Genomic DNA, 13,362 nt, shown 5'->3' on the forward strand with positions numbered 1-13,362 from the left:
CCCTGGGCTGTCCTGCTTTGTTGGTGAGGTGTTTAGCCCTGGCAACCAGTGCCCACGTGTCGCACAAAATACTTGAGAAAGAGGGTGGGCACAGAGCAACCCGCTTGTCTCTGCTTCCTATAGAAATAAGGAAGTCCTGCATATGCCTGGAGTCCCGGCTGCTTGAGAGGCTGAGGCAGGAGGATCACTTGAGGCCAAGAGTTCCAGACCAACCTAGGCAACATAGCGAGACCCCGATCTCTAAAAAATTTTAAAAATTGGGCTAGGCACAGTGGCTCACAATCCCAGCATTTTGGGAGGCCAAGGCAGAGGGATTGCTTGAGCCTAGGAGTTCAAGACCAGTCTGGGCAACATAAGGAGACCCGTCTCTGCTAATAAACAATTAGCTGGGTGTGGTGGCGTGCACTTGTAGTCCCAGATACTTGGAGGGCTGAGGTGGGAAGGATCGAAGGATCGCTTGCGCACAGGAGATCAAGACTGTAGTGAGCTGTGATTGTGCCATTGCACTCCAGACTGGACAGCAGAGTGAGGCCCTGTCTCAAAAAAAAATTAGTTGGGGATAGTGGTGTGCAACCGGAGTCCCAGCTACCCTGGAGGCTGAGGCAGGAGGATTGCTTGATCCCAGGTGCTGTAGGCTGCAGCATGCTATGATCATGCCTGTGAATAGCTACTGTCCTCCAGCCTGGGCACCATAGCTCTCCAAAAAAAAAAAAAAAAGGTAAGGAAGTGTCTAATTATTAAAGATGTACTCATTTGTTCTATCATTGGCAAAAAATAATAAAGCTTAAACAACTTATCAAAATCTTGCTGATGAAGAAAAGGTATCCGGAAAAAAATGTTAGTTGGTAACAAATGTTACAAAGTAACAAACATTGACAATTACTTAAAAACATAAAGACAGAAATAAAAACGGAGGTTGTAAGGTTTGCACTGGATGTTGTATGTTCTCCCGGCTGACCCCACCACTTCCCAAAAGGAGAGTTTCGGTGCCGCACTCAGTGAGGGCCCCGCTCACCCTTGGATTACAGGGCTTTTTATCTACTTTAAAAAAAAAAAAACGTTTCCTCTTTGGAGATGTTTTCTGAAGGCTCCAGGTGTGCCCCACATCAGTGAGCAGACTTGATTAGCTGATGAGTTAGTTTATATCTGAAGCTACACCGGGAGAAGTTTCTGACCTTTTGTTTTCAAGTCAGATTTATAGTGATTAAAAAAAATCTTTTCAGGGCTTTGAAACTAACCCAGGCTTTACCGTGGTTAATGAAACATTTCCTACTGAGATGTAGCCGCTCCCCCTCCTTCAGGAAGTTGCATGGAGTATACGCCTCACTACTGGAGTGTGTTCACACTTGGTTACAGAAAAGACGCAGATGCAGGGTTTAAACCAGCGGCCCAAAGACTATACATTATTGATATCTTTCTTACGTCATTACAACTGTCTTGGGGATTTGAAGCTAGTTAGTGTGGTACACTGAAGCCAAATTACACAAGAATATAACCCTCCCCAAAGAATTCCTAGCCATTCCCTTCTTTCGCAGAAAGCTGTGCTCAGGAGCAAAACACAGCCAAAGTGGTCATGGTGGGCTGCTCCTAGAAATCATTATTTATTTATTTATTTATTTATTTTTTGAGACTAAGTCTGTCTCCCAGGCTGGAGTGCAGTGGCTCAATTTCAGCTCACTGCACTCACTGCAACCTCTGCCTCCCAGGTTCAAGCGATTCTCCTGCCTCAGCCTCCCGAGTATCTGAGACTACAGGCGCCCACCACCACACCCAGCTAATTTTTTGTATTTTCAGTAGAAACGGGGTTTCACGGTGTTAGCCAGGAAGGTCTCAATCTCCTGACCTCCTGATCCGCCTGCCTTGGCCTCCCAAAGTGCTGGGATTACAAGGTGTGAGCCACGGCGCCCGGCCTAGAAATCATTTTTAAATGAAAGATCTGCAGCATGTATAATGTTATCAAAGGAACCATAGCTTAGGTGTCATCGTTTCTACAGATGATTTCACATACAAGGCAGTTCCATCCTCTATCTTTATAAATGTGTCTTTTCCTCCAGGATGTTGGACTGTCCACGTTGGGATGGGGCCCAGCATATCATTCGTTTCCTGCTTACTTGCAACTTCACTTCTTTTTAGCTTGCAGAGTGTTGTATAATCTTGACAGGTTTGGGCAGGGAATTAACATTGGTGCAACCACCTAGTTCTGTAAACTTAAGTCTAATCCTGTAGAGACGTATGTGCCCAGCAAGTGCCCACATGGTGGACGCTTGGCAAATGTTGATGGAATGAGTGAATGAATCAATGATGCTCATTGGTCATATTCGACAGCAGAGACAGTGAGGAAGACACAATCCCTGACATTATTATTTGATCTCAGTGTAATTCTTAGTAACCCTAATGTGTTTGATATATTCAGGAGCTTGGGCATAGCTTAGGAGCATTTAGAAAGGAATTAAATAGTCACTTAACTTTTTATTTTATTTGCTATTTATTTTTTGCTTAACTTTAAAAATGTATATATCTTTTGACTCAACAAATGTACTTTTAAGAGTGTATCCTGGCCAGGCGCGGAGGCTCACGCCTGTAATCCCAGCACTTTGGGAGGCCGAGGTGGGAGGATCACCTGAGGTCAGGAGTTCGAGACCAGTTTGGCCAACATGGCCAAACCCCGTCTCTACTAAAAATACAAAAATTAGCTGGGCATGGTGGTGCATGCCTGTAATCCCAGCAACTCCAGAGGGTGAGGCAGGAGAATCGCTTGAACCCAGGAGGCAGAGGTTGCAGTGAGCTGAAATGGTGCCACCATACTCTCCAGCCTGGGCGACAGAGCAAGACTCCATCTCAAAAAAAAAAAAAAAAAAAGGGAGTGTATCCTACAGAAAAACTCACCCAAGTTTATAATGATGTACATATGGAAGGAATAATTTTAAATATATAATATATATAAATATTGAGATGGAGTCTCACTACGTTGCCCAGGCTGGTCTCAAACTCCTGGGCTTAGGCAAGCCTCTTGCTTTAGCCTTCCTAGTTGCTGGGACTACAGGCCCTCCAAACCTGTACTTGACCTGAAGGGACAATTGTTGTCACATAGTCTATTGTGTTGAAAATCAAAACAACACTGATATCCATTGATAGGAGATGAGATTAATAAAATAAGGCACACCTACAAGTGAGATTGGCCTGGTACTGTGTCTCTTCACCTGTATTCCCAGCACTTTATGAGGCCAAAGTGGAAGGACCGCTTGTCCTTGGGAATTCAAGACCAGCCTGAGCAGCGTAGTGAGACCTTGTCTCTACAAATTATTATTATTTTTTTGAGAGAGTCTTGCTGTTTTGCCCAGGCTGGTAGGCAATGGCGTGATCTCGGCTCACTGCAACCTCCACCTCCTGGATTCAAGCAATTCTTCTGTCTCAGCCTCCCGAGTAGCTGGAATTACCCGCAGTGCCACCATGCCCAGCTAATTTTTTGTATCTTTAGTAGAGATGGGGTTTCGCCATGTTGGCCAGGCTGGTCTCGAACTCCTCACCTCAGATGATCCTCCCACCTTGGCCTCCCAAAGTGCTGGGATTATAGGCATGAGCCACCATGGCTGGCCACGAATTTTTTTTTTTTTTTTTTGGAGACCGAGTCTCCCTCTGTCACCCAGGCTGCAGCGCAGTGGCACGATCTCAGCTCACTGCAAGCTCCGCCTCCTGGGTTCACACCATTCTCCTGCCTCAGCCTCCTGAGTAGCTGGGACTACAGGCACCCGCCACCACGCCTGGCTAATTTTTTTTTTGTATTTTTAGTAGAGACGGGGTTTCACCGTCTCTACAGTGATCAGAGGATCACTGACCTCGTGATCCTCCCACCTCGGCCTCCCAAAGTGCTGGGATTACAGATGTGAGCCACCGCGCCCAGCCGAATTTTTTTTTTTTTAATTGCTGGATGTAGTGGCTCACGCCTGAAGTCCCAGCTACTCAGGAGGCTGAGGTGGGAGGATCACATGAGCCCAGAGGTCAAGGCTGCAGTGAGCCATGATTGCACCATTGCTCTCCAGTATGGGCAACACAGTGAGACTCTGTCTCAAAGAAAAAGAAAAAAAAAAAAAAGCCCATCTAGGGGTTCTATAAATAAAAGGCCGTTTCATTCAGTGGCATCTGCCCTCCTTAGGAGACAGTTGTGGCTATAAATTTGGGGAGACCTCGGACATACATTTCTGTACTATTTAAGTTCTCCTAACTATAAACATGCAGCTTGTGTTGCTTTTGTATTCAGAACAAAAACGAGAAAGATAAACAAGCAAATCCCCCCAAAGCCCTGTGTGCTAATCTTCATGGCTAAAGCAGGGTCCCAGCTGGGATGGAGGTCTGTAGCCAAGTGGTTCAGCCTCACCCATAACGAGGGGGGTAATTTGAGCCAAGAAGCACAGGGACAATTTCTGTTCTGATAAAGACCCCGAGGGAATTTGGAAATTTGCACTTTGAAGAGAAGCCCTCAGTATGTTGGGTCTTGCCCTGAAACGTAAATATCAGCAGGCATTTCCATCCTGAAGGTAATAGAAGTGGCCCAGTGTTCTAGGGGAGGCCTTCCTGGCCAACAGAGAGTCCGTGGCCAGGCCCCTGCCCAGCGAGAGGTGGGCTTCCTGCAGAAAGATCAGAGCAAGACAAAACTATTTCTGCTTTTCACATGTAAAGCATTTAAAGAAATAAATCTTGGATTACTATGCAGCCATTAAAAAGAATGCAGGCGATAGAGTCCAGGCCTGGTGGTTCATACCCGTAATCCCAGCAGTTTGGGAGGCTGAGGTGGGCGCATCACCTGAGGTCAGGAGTTCGAGACCACCCTGGCCAACATGGTGAAGCCCTGTCTCTACTAAAAATACAAAAATTAGCCAGGCATGGTGGCGCACACCTGTAATCCCAGCTACTCGGGAGGCTGAGGCAGGAGAATCGCTTGAACCCGGGAGGCGGAGGTTGCAGTGAGCTAAGATGGCACCATTGCACTCCAGCCTGGGCAAGAAAAGCGAGACTCCGTCTCAAAAAAAAAAAAAAAAAAGAATACAGGTAATAGTAATGCATAATACCATTCTGGGAAAGTGAGGCCTAGAGAGAGAAGAAAGATTGTATAGTCACTTAGCTACCGAGGGCACAGCCAGGGTTTGAACCAAGCTGGCTGACCCCCAACTCCAGGTTCTGTTCCTACGTATGTATGAGTTGGTACAAAGAAGGAAGAAAACCCTAAAAATTCTGGCATCCAACACTGGTTATTGCTGCAGGACGGGGAATTTCAGGGCATTTTATTATTATTTTTCTTTATATCTCCATTGTTAGAATTTTTCATAACAAGCATGTTTCACTCTTGACTGGTTTTATGATATAAAAGGGTAGATCACAATGATGGTGGAAGATATATTTTAAAAATATTTTAAATATTTTTAAATATTTTTAAAAATATTTCAAAAATATTAAATTAATGTTCTTAGAATCGAAATGTTGTTACTTGCCATTGCCATGGCTTCTCCATATTATTTATTTTCTTTTCTTAAAAAAAACTTTATTGAGATATACCACATACCACGTAATTCACCTGTTTAGAGGATGCAGTTCATTGGTTTTTAGAATGTCCACCGAGTAGTGCAGACATCACCACCACGTAATCCTAGAACATGTTTATCATCCCAAAAAGAAACCCCAGACCCATGAGCACTCACTTCCCATTTCTCCTTCAACCACCGATGTGCTTTCTGTCTCTATGGATTGGCCTATCTTGGCATTTCATATAAATGGAGTCATGAAATATGTGGTCTTTTGGGTCCAGCTTCTTTCACTCACTCAGCATCATGTTTTCCAGGTTCATCCAGGTTGTAGCTTGTCTCAGTCCTTCATTCTTTTCTTTATGATTGAGTAACATTCTATTCGTTCATGTAGATATGCCACATTTTATGTATCCATTCACGAACAGATGGACATTTACGTTTTCCCATTTTCTTGGCTATTATGGATAAGGCTGCTGTGAACATTCGTGTGCAAGTTTTTTGTTGTTGTTGGATTTTTTTTTCTTTTTTTTCTCTTTTTTTTTTTTTTGAGATGAAATCTCCCTCTGGCTGGAGTGCAATGGCGCGATCTCGGCTCACTGCAGCCTCTGCCTCCCAAGTTCAAGTGATTCTCCCACCTCAGCCTCCCGAGTACCTGGGACTACAGGTGCCCGCCCCCACGCCCAGCTAATTTTTGTATTTTTAGTAGAGATGGGGTTTCACCATGTTGGCCAGGCTGGTCTTGAACTCCTGACCTCAAATGATCCACCCAACTTGGCCTCCCAAAGTGCTGGGATCCCAGATGTGAGCCACGGTGCCCGGCCCACATCACTTCTTCACTTGAGCTAGGAACCATCTGGGGCTTTAGGGTGCATGAGGCAGGATCAGGATTTTAGAGAGCTGTGGACACAGAATTAGCAAATCCTTGATTGTGGGTTTGGTACAAGGTGCAAGACTTGTCATTCAGCTAGGACTGTCTCTTTCAGACCTTTGAAAACATTCACTGGGAAGGGAAGAGTCCCTGGAGGTGTTTGAGACCTGGGCTCTGATGCAGGGCAGGGTGACAGTCACTCTAAAGGGCCCTGTGAATGGGTGTTGTTCACATGGAGTAGAAGACAGTGGGCAAGAGCACCAGGCCAGGCCTTGGCTGCTGTCACCTGAGACTGCGTCCAGAGGGCAGAACTGTGCATGCATGCCCCACTCCTGGAAAAAGAGGCAGTCGCCATCCAGATCTAGTTCCTGGAGGGAGGTATGGAGCAGTTGGGGTCACAGTGTTGCATGAATCGCAGAGGGGGCGCTCACAGGGGTCTCCAGATGTGGCCATGCAGTGACGCTGCCCAGCCCTTACGCCCCCTCCTCAGCCCACTACTCCCTGCCCCGGGTCAGCGAGGAGATGCAGGGGGTGACCAGGGGAGGGTATGAGTGAAGATGATGAGTGGGAACAAGACACTGTGCCCCATTAGTTGAGAATGTTCTAGAGGGTATTGTGCGTTGGGAAGAGGGCGTGGGGAAGAGGGTGAGTGCTCCCAGTCCTACTGGTCCATGAAACCATTAGAAAAGCAAACCTGCCCCCACCAGGAGCCTGCTTATAAAAACAAGGAATGGCCCCAGTTCAAATATATCGTGTTCCTCTCCATTTAATAGGGAGGTTGTAAAACTTAATTATAGAACATAATTCTAAGGACATCAATGGCTTCCTGAGGCTGACAGCAGGGATCACAGACCCAAAGGCCTGCGTCATCAATGACAGAGGCAGAAATAAGATGCTCTCGGGTGAGGGGACTCCAGCCCACCACCAAGAGGCCACCCTCATGTCTTGGGGCCTGGAGCAGTCGGGGCAACAGAGGCCCAGATGCTGTATGTCTAAATGTTTAAAAGTTACCAATCAAGCAACAAGCTGATAAATAAATATTCCCCCTTGACAGTTCAACCTTCAACATGAGCTGATTCAAAGTTCACACCCGAATGGGCAGCATGCAGGGCCAAGCCAAGCTGGGCCTGCCCCATGTGTCCTCCCAGCTCTGACCCCATCCCTGGCCACTGTGTGCATGGCATTCAGGAGGTGGACCCTTCTCTATACTCTCCAAACAGCAGCCCCGGGGCACCCTTCAGGCCTATGGGTGGGCAACACCAGGGGCACAGGTTGGCCTCAGGAGGGTGAGATCCCCATGGGCCCCGGAAGTGGGCTTAGGTTATGTAGGGGAGAGAAGCCTCGGGTTCAGGTACCCAGAGTGTGGTCTAGAATTGGGTGCATGGGCTCGGGGTGGGCACCTCCTCTGCACCCTCCTCCTCATGCTTGTTTCCCAGCATACAGTGTCTTCCTCTGACCTCCTACTGGCCAAACCCTTCATGGCTCTGCAGTAGGCCCACCTCTTCCAGGAAGCCTTCCCGAAGCCCACCTGGCTGAGAGCTCCTCCAACCTTTGATGATGTTCTCCTGCATCTTGGCACTGAATCTTCTAGAGCCACGGTAGCCAACCTTTTAAAATCAGTTGAGGGCACTTAAAAAAATACATCAGTATTTTTACACCTGATTTTTACACCTGGGCCCCAGCCTTGTGCAACAGAACCTAGGGGTGGAGTCTAAGCATGGACAGTTTTTAAAGCCCCAGGCAGCCAGGGCTGAGGACCTTGGCGATGGAGCCTGTTAGTTCGCTTTCCTTGTGTATATCGTCTCTTGAGCATCTCTTCACATGGCCCAGACCTTAATAGACACTGAATAAATATTTGCTGACCCCAGTGACTAAGATTGAAAACCAGAATGCAGAACTGTTCTAGTAATAATTGAGAGACTTGTATTTCATTGGCTTTGCACTAAACCAAATGCTCAGTAACTACTAGTAAATCGAGTAAAATTAACTAGGGCACTAAATGATTATTCTAAGCTTCTTGTGAGTTTCAAGAGAATTCTTTTTGTGGCCTCACTTGTGTCCACATTATTTACTTCATCATTCATTCATTCATCCATTCATCCATCTATCTATCCATTCAGTAAACATTTCTCTGAGCCTCTATAATGTGCCAGGCTCTGAACTAAGCTGCCGGGGAAATAGAGATGAAAGCTCTGGCTACAGCTTAATGGGGAAAACAGATGTGAGCCCAAAGAATTAGAGCGTGCACCGCAGCTGCCACCCATTATTACTCTCTACTGAAAGTCACAAGCTTGGGGCTGATTCATTTTGGCACCAGTATCACCTCCGTGAACCCCTGTGGTCTAAGAGCAGCAGTATTCAAAGTGTGGTCCCCAGACCAACAGGATTGACTTCACGTGACCTAGGGACTTACAAGAAATGCAAATGGTCAGACCCTATCCCAGACTCAGAAACCCCCCAGGTGGGACCAGCAGTCTGTTTGAACAAGACCTCCCGGTCATTGTGAAGCCTGACATGTCAGCGAGCCTTTGCCTTCCAGCCATGTTTCTCAAGCTTGGCTACGCATTCAAATCATTCGAATGAGAAGCTTCCAAAAATTTGGTCCCCAGACCAATTAAATCAGGATCTCAGCTGGTTGTGGTGGCTCATTCCTGTAATCCCAGCAATTTGGGAGGCCGAGGCAGGCAGATCACTTGAAGTCAAGAGTTTGAGACCAGCCTGGCCAACAGTAGGAACCCTGTTGCTACTAAAAATACAAAAATTAGCCAGCTGTGGTGGCGCGCGCCTGTAGTCCCAGCTACTTGGGAGGCTGAGGCAGGAGAATTGGTTGGACTCAGGAGGTGGAGGTTGCTGTGATCCGAGATCACGCCACTGGACTCCTGCCTGGGCGACAGAGTGAGACTATCATCTAAAAAAAAAAATCAGGTTCTCAGGGAATAGGATCTGGGCCTCAGAACTGTTTAAGCTCTCCAGGTGAATGGAATAAAGCCCCGCCTTAGCAGGCGTGAGAATGCCAATCAAAGGCCAGGCTGACTGACAACCACCAGTGCGTCTGGGCCGCTCAGCTAGGACTCCTGCTTCTCTCAAGCCATCTTCACACGGGGGCGTTCAGAACAAGCTCTGCGTTCTATTTCCAGCTCCGAGGTTCCTCTCCCAAGCATGAACTTTGTTCAGACAAGTAGCAGAACCTGCCTTTTCAACGAACACTTGCGAAGTCGGCTCAGGAAGGAAATGTCAGTGATGCCGAAGCTGCCAACTCCGTGCTTGTTGAGTAGTGATTCTTGATCAGTCATACGGGAAGAGAGAGTAAGAGGTGAATCACATGCTGAGTGGTTTGTGCTGTGAATGTTTGCTGAGCTCTTTGGAACTCTCTGGGTATGAGTAACTCAGGCCCTTATGAATTCCTTTTGTCGTCTTAGTCTCCTGTTCTGAACTGAGTTAAATCATATATTACATTGGTAATTTATATATATTTATATATATTATTTCTTTTTTTTTTCTTTTTCAGACAGGGTCTTACTCCTCACTCCTGTTGCCCAGGCTGGAGTGCAGTGGCACAATCACGGCTCAGTGCAGCCTCCACCTCCCGGGCTCAGGTGATCCTCCCATCTCAGCCTCCCAAGTAGCTGGGACTACAGGCACATGCGCCACCACGCCAAGCTAATTTGTTGTCTTTTTTGTAGAGACAGGATTTCACAGCCCAGGCTGTCTCAAGCTCCTAAAACGATCTACCCACTCCAGCCTCCTAAAGTGCTGGGATTACAGGCGTAAGCCACCCCACCCAGCCAAATTATAATTTATCTTATGTTATGATTACATGTATTGTAATTAGCAAGTGCATAGAAAAATATAATCACAAGAGCTCTCCCTCTCCCTCTCCCACTCCCTCTCCCTCTCCGTCTCCCTCTCCCTCTCCCTCTCCCCACGGTCTCCCTCTCATGCGGAGCCGAAGCTGGACTGTACTGCTGCCATCTCGGCTCACTGCAACCTCCCTGCCTGATTCTCCTGCCTCAGCCTGCCGAGTGCCTGCGATTGCAGGCACGCGCCGCCACGCCTGACTGGTTTTGGTGGAGACCGGGTTTCGCTGTGTTGGCCGGGCCGGTCTCCAGCCCCTAACCGCGAGTGATCCGCCAACCTCGGCCTCCCGAGGTGCCGGGATTGCAGACGGAGTCTCGTTCACTCAGTGCTCAATGGTGCCCAGGCTGGAGTGCAGTGGCGTGATCTCGGCTCACTACAACCTACACCTCCCAGCCGCCTGCCTTGGCCTCCCAAAGTGCCGAGATTGCAGCCTCTGCCCGGCCGCCACCCCGTCTGGGAAGTGAGGAGTGTCTCTGCCTGGCCGCCCATCGTCGGGGATGTGAGGAGCCCCTCTGCCTGGCTGCCCAGTCTGGAAAGTGAGGAGCGTCTCCACCCGGCCGCCATCCCATCTAGGAAGTGAGGAGCGCCTCTTCCCAGCCGCCATCACATCTAGGAAGTGAGGAGCGTCTCTGCCCGGCCGCCCATCGTCTGAGATGTGGGGAGCGCCTCTGCCCCGCCGCCCCATCTGGGATGTGAGGAGTGCCTCTGCCCGGCCGAGACCCCGTCTGGGAGGTGAGGAGCGTCTCTGCCCGGCCGCCCCGTCTGAGAAGTGAGGAGACCCTCTGCCTGGCAACCACCCCGTCTGAGAAGTGAGGAGCCCCTCTGCCCGGCCAGCACCCCGTCCGGGAGGGAGGTGGGGGGGTCAGCCCCCCGCCCGGCCAGCCGCCCCGTCCGGGAGGGAGGTGGGGGGGGTCAGCCCCCCCGCCCGGCCAGCCGCCCCGTCCGGGAGGTGAGGGGCGCCTCTGCCCGGCCGCCCCTACTGGGAAGTGAGGAGCCCCTCTGCCCGGCCAGCACCCCGTCCGGGAGGGAGGTGGGGGGGTCAGCCCCCCGCCCGGCCAGCCGCCCCGTCCGGGAGGGAGGTGGGGGGGGGGTCAGCCCCCCCGCCTGGCCAGCCGCCCCATCCGGGAGGTGAGGGGCGCCTCTGCCCGGCGGCCCCTACTGGGAAGTGAGGAGCCCCTCTGCCCGGCCAGCCGCCCCGTCCGGGAGGGAGGTGGGGGGGGTCAGCCCCCCCGCCCGGCCAGCCGCCCCGTCCGGGAGGTGAGGGGCGCCTCTGCCCGGCCGCCCCTACTGGGAAGTGAGGAGCCCCTCTGCCCGGCCAGCCGCCCCGTCCGGGAGGGAGGTGGGGGGGTCAGCCCCCCCGCTCGGCCAGCCGCCCCGTCCGGGAGGGAGGTGGGGGGGGTCAGCCCCCCTGCCCGGCCAGCCGCCCCGTCCGGGAGGTGAGGGGCGCCTCTGCCCGGCCGCCCCTACTGGGAAGTGAGGAGCCCCTCTGCCCGGCCACCACCCCGTCTGGGACGTGTGCCCAACAGCTCATTGAGAACGGGCCAGGATGACAATGGCGGCTTTGTGGAATAGAAAGGCGGGAAAGGTGGGGAAAAGATTGAGAAATCGGATGGTTGCCGTGTCTGTGTAGAAAGAAGTAGACATGGGAGACTTTTCATTTTGTTCTGCACTAAGAAAAATTCCTCTGCCTTGGGATCCTGTTGATCTGTGACCTTACCCCCAACCCTGTGCTCTCTGAAACATGTGCTGTGTCCACTCAGGGTTAAATGGATTAAGGGCGGTGCAAGATGTGCTTTGTTAAACAGATGCTTGAAGGCAGCATGCTCGTTAAGAGTCATCACCAATCCCTAATCTCAAGTAATCAGGGACACAAACACTGCGGAAGGCCGCAGGGTCCTCTGCCTAGGAAAACCAGAGACCTTTGTTCACTTGTTTATCTGCTGACCTTCCCTCCACTATTGTCCCATGACCCTGCCAAATCCCCCTCTGTGAGAAACACCCAAGAATTATCAATAAAAAAATAAATTAAAAAAAAAATAATAATCACAAGAATAATTACTGTCTGTTGAATGCTTGCTATGTGTTAGGCATTATGTTAAGCACTTTACGTACATAGTCTCAATAAGCTTCAGAAAAGCCCAATGCATACGTATTACTGTATTCCCTGCTTTTTCAAGATGAGGAAACTGAGGAGAAGGAATGTGAGTAACTCACTCAAGGTCATATAGACAGAAAATGGCAGAGCCAGAGTTTGAACCTAGGTCTATCATCAAAGATTGCTCTTTTAGCCCCAACCTCTACTGCCTCATGGTAAATAGTAGCATTCCTATGTAGTAATACTGTCAAAATTATATAGTGCAATATGCAAATAATTGCTACTGGATAGTGTTTTTTCCTACATAAAATTATACATGATTTAACAAGCAATTGTACATAGTATAAACTCAGTAAATGCTGTATATGAAACAGTGTTACCATTTACAGCTACTTTTATAATATCAATTATGTATCAATTACAGTTAATTTGTATCTGTAACCAATAATGTTATTTCAACATTCCTGGAATCTTGCCTTTTTTTTTTGAGACAGGTTCTCACTCTGGCCCAAGCTGGAGTGCAGTGGCACAATCAGGGCTCACTGCAGCCTTGGCTTTCTGGGCTCAAGCCATCCTCCTGCATGAGCCCCCCAGTAGCTAGGACTGCCACCACACCTGTTTTTAGATTTTAGTGGAGATGAGGTCTCATTATGTTGCCCAGGCTGGTCTCAAACTCCTGAGCTCAAGCCATCCTCCCACCCTGGCCTCCCAAAGTGCTGGGATTATAGGCATGAGCCACCATGCCTGACCTGGAATGTTGCATTGAGAATATGTGGCATCTCTGAAACTACTAGGTGATTACTTAGATACAGCGTTAAAGGAAAAAAGCAGGATGTAAAATTATACATATGATACCAGTTTTGTAAAAAATATGCATGTGTATTTTATATGCATAGAAAAAATAGGAAGGAAGTGCCCCAAATCTCACCGAAATTGTGATTGGATGGTTGGATTACAAGAGATTTTTATTTTTTTCTTGATACTTGAGGCCAGACCAAGATGTGAGGGTGAAGGGTACTTGA

At 49.1% G+C, this 13,362-nt stretch overlaps 1 protein-coding gene across 1 annotated transcript in view, besides 3 other annotated features; it reads left to right on the forward strand.

Annotated features, from left to right (window-relative positions):
• CFAP251 (cilia and flagella associated protein 251) overlaps positions 1-13,362 on the forward strand; it is an 85,328-nt gene that overhangs the window by 64,104 nt on the left and 7,862 nt on the right. The gene's annotated exons all lie outside the window — the stretch shown is intronic.
• Positions 8,340-8,389: an enhancer, noted in NCBI's record as "active region_7194". NCBI's record gives its function as "activates an Ori minimal core promoter by ATAC-STARR-seq in GM12878 lymphoblastoid cells {active_cell/tissue: GM12878}" and the evidence as "EXISTENCE:reporter gene assay evidence [ECO:0000049][PMID:35858748]".
• Positions 9,472-9,571: an enhancer, noted in NCBI's record as "active region_7195". NCBI's record gives its function as "activates an Ori minimal core promoter by ATAC-STARR-seq in GM12878 lymphoblastoid cells {active_cell/tissue: GM12878}" and the evidence as "EXISTENCE:reporter gene assay evidence [ECO:0000049][PMID:35858748]".
• Positions 12,328-12,622: a silencer, noted in NCBI's record as "tiled region #10891; K562 Repressive non-DNase unmatched - State 22:ReprW". NCBI's record gives its function as "represses a minimal TATA promoter and a strong SV40 promoter by Sharpr-MPRA in K562 cells {active_cell/tissue: K562}" and the evidence as "EXISTENCE:reporter gene assay evidence [ECO:0000049][PMID:27701403]".

This window comes from Homo sapiens, chromosome 12 (assembly GCF_000001405.40).
Source record: "Homo sapiens chromosome 12, GRCh38.p14 Primary Assembly".
Taxonomy (NCBI): domain Eukaryota; kingdom Metazoa; phylum Chordata; class Mammalia; order Primates; family Hominidae; genus Homo; species Homo sapiens.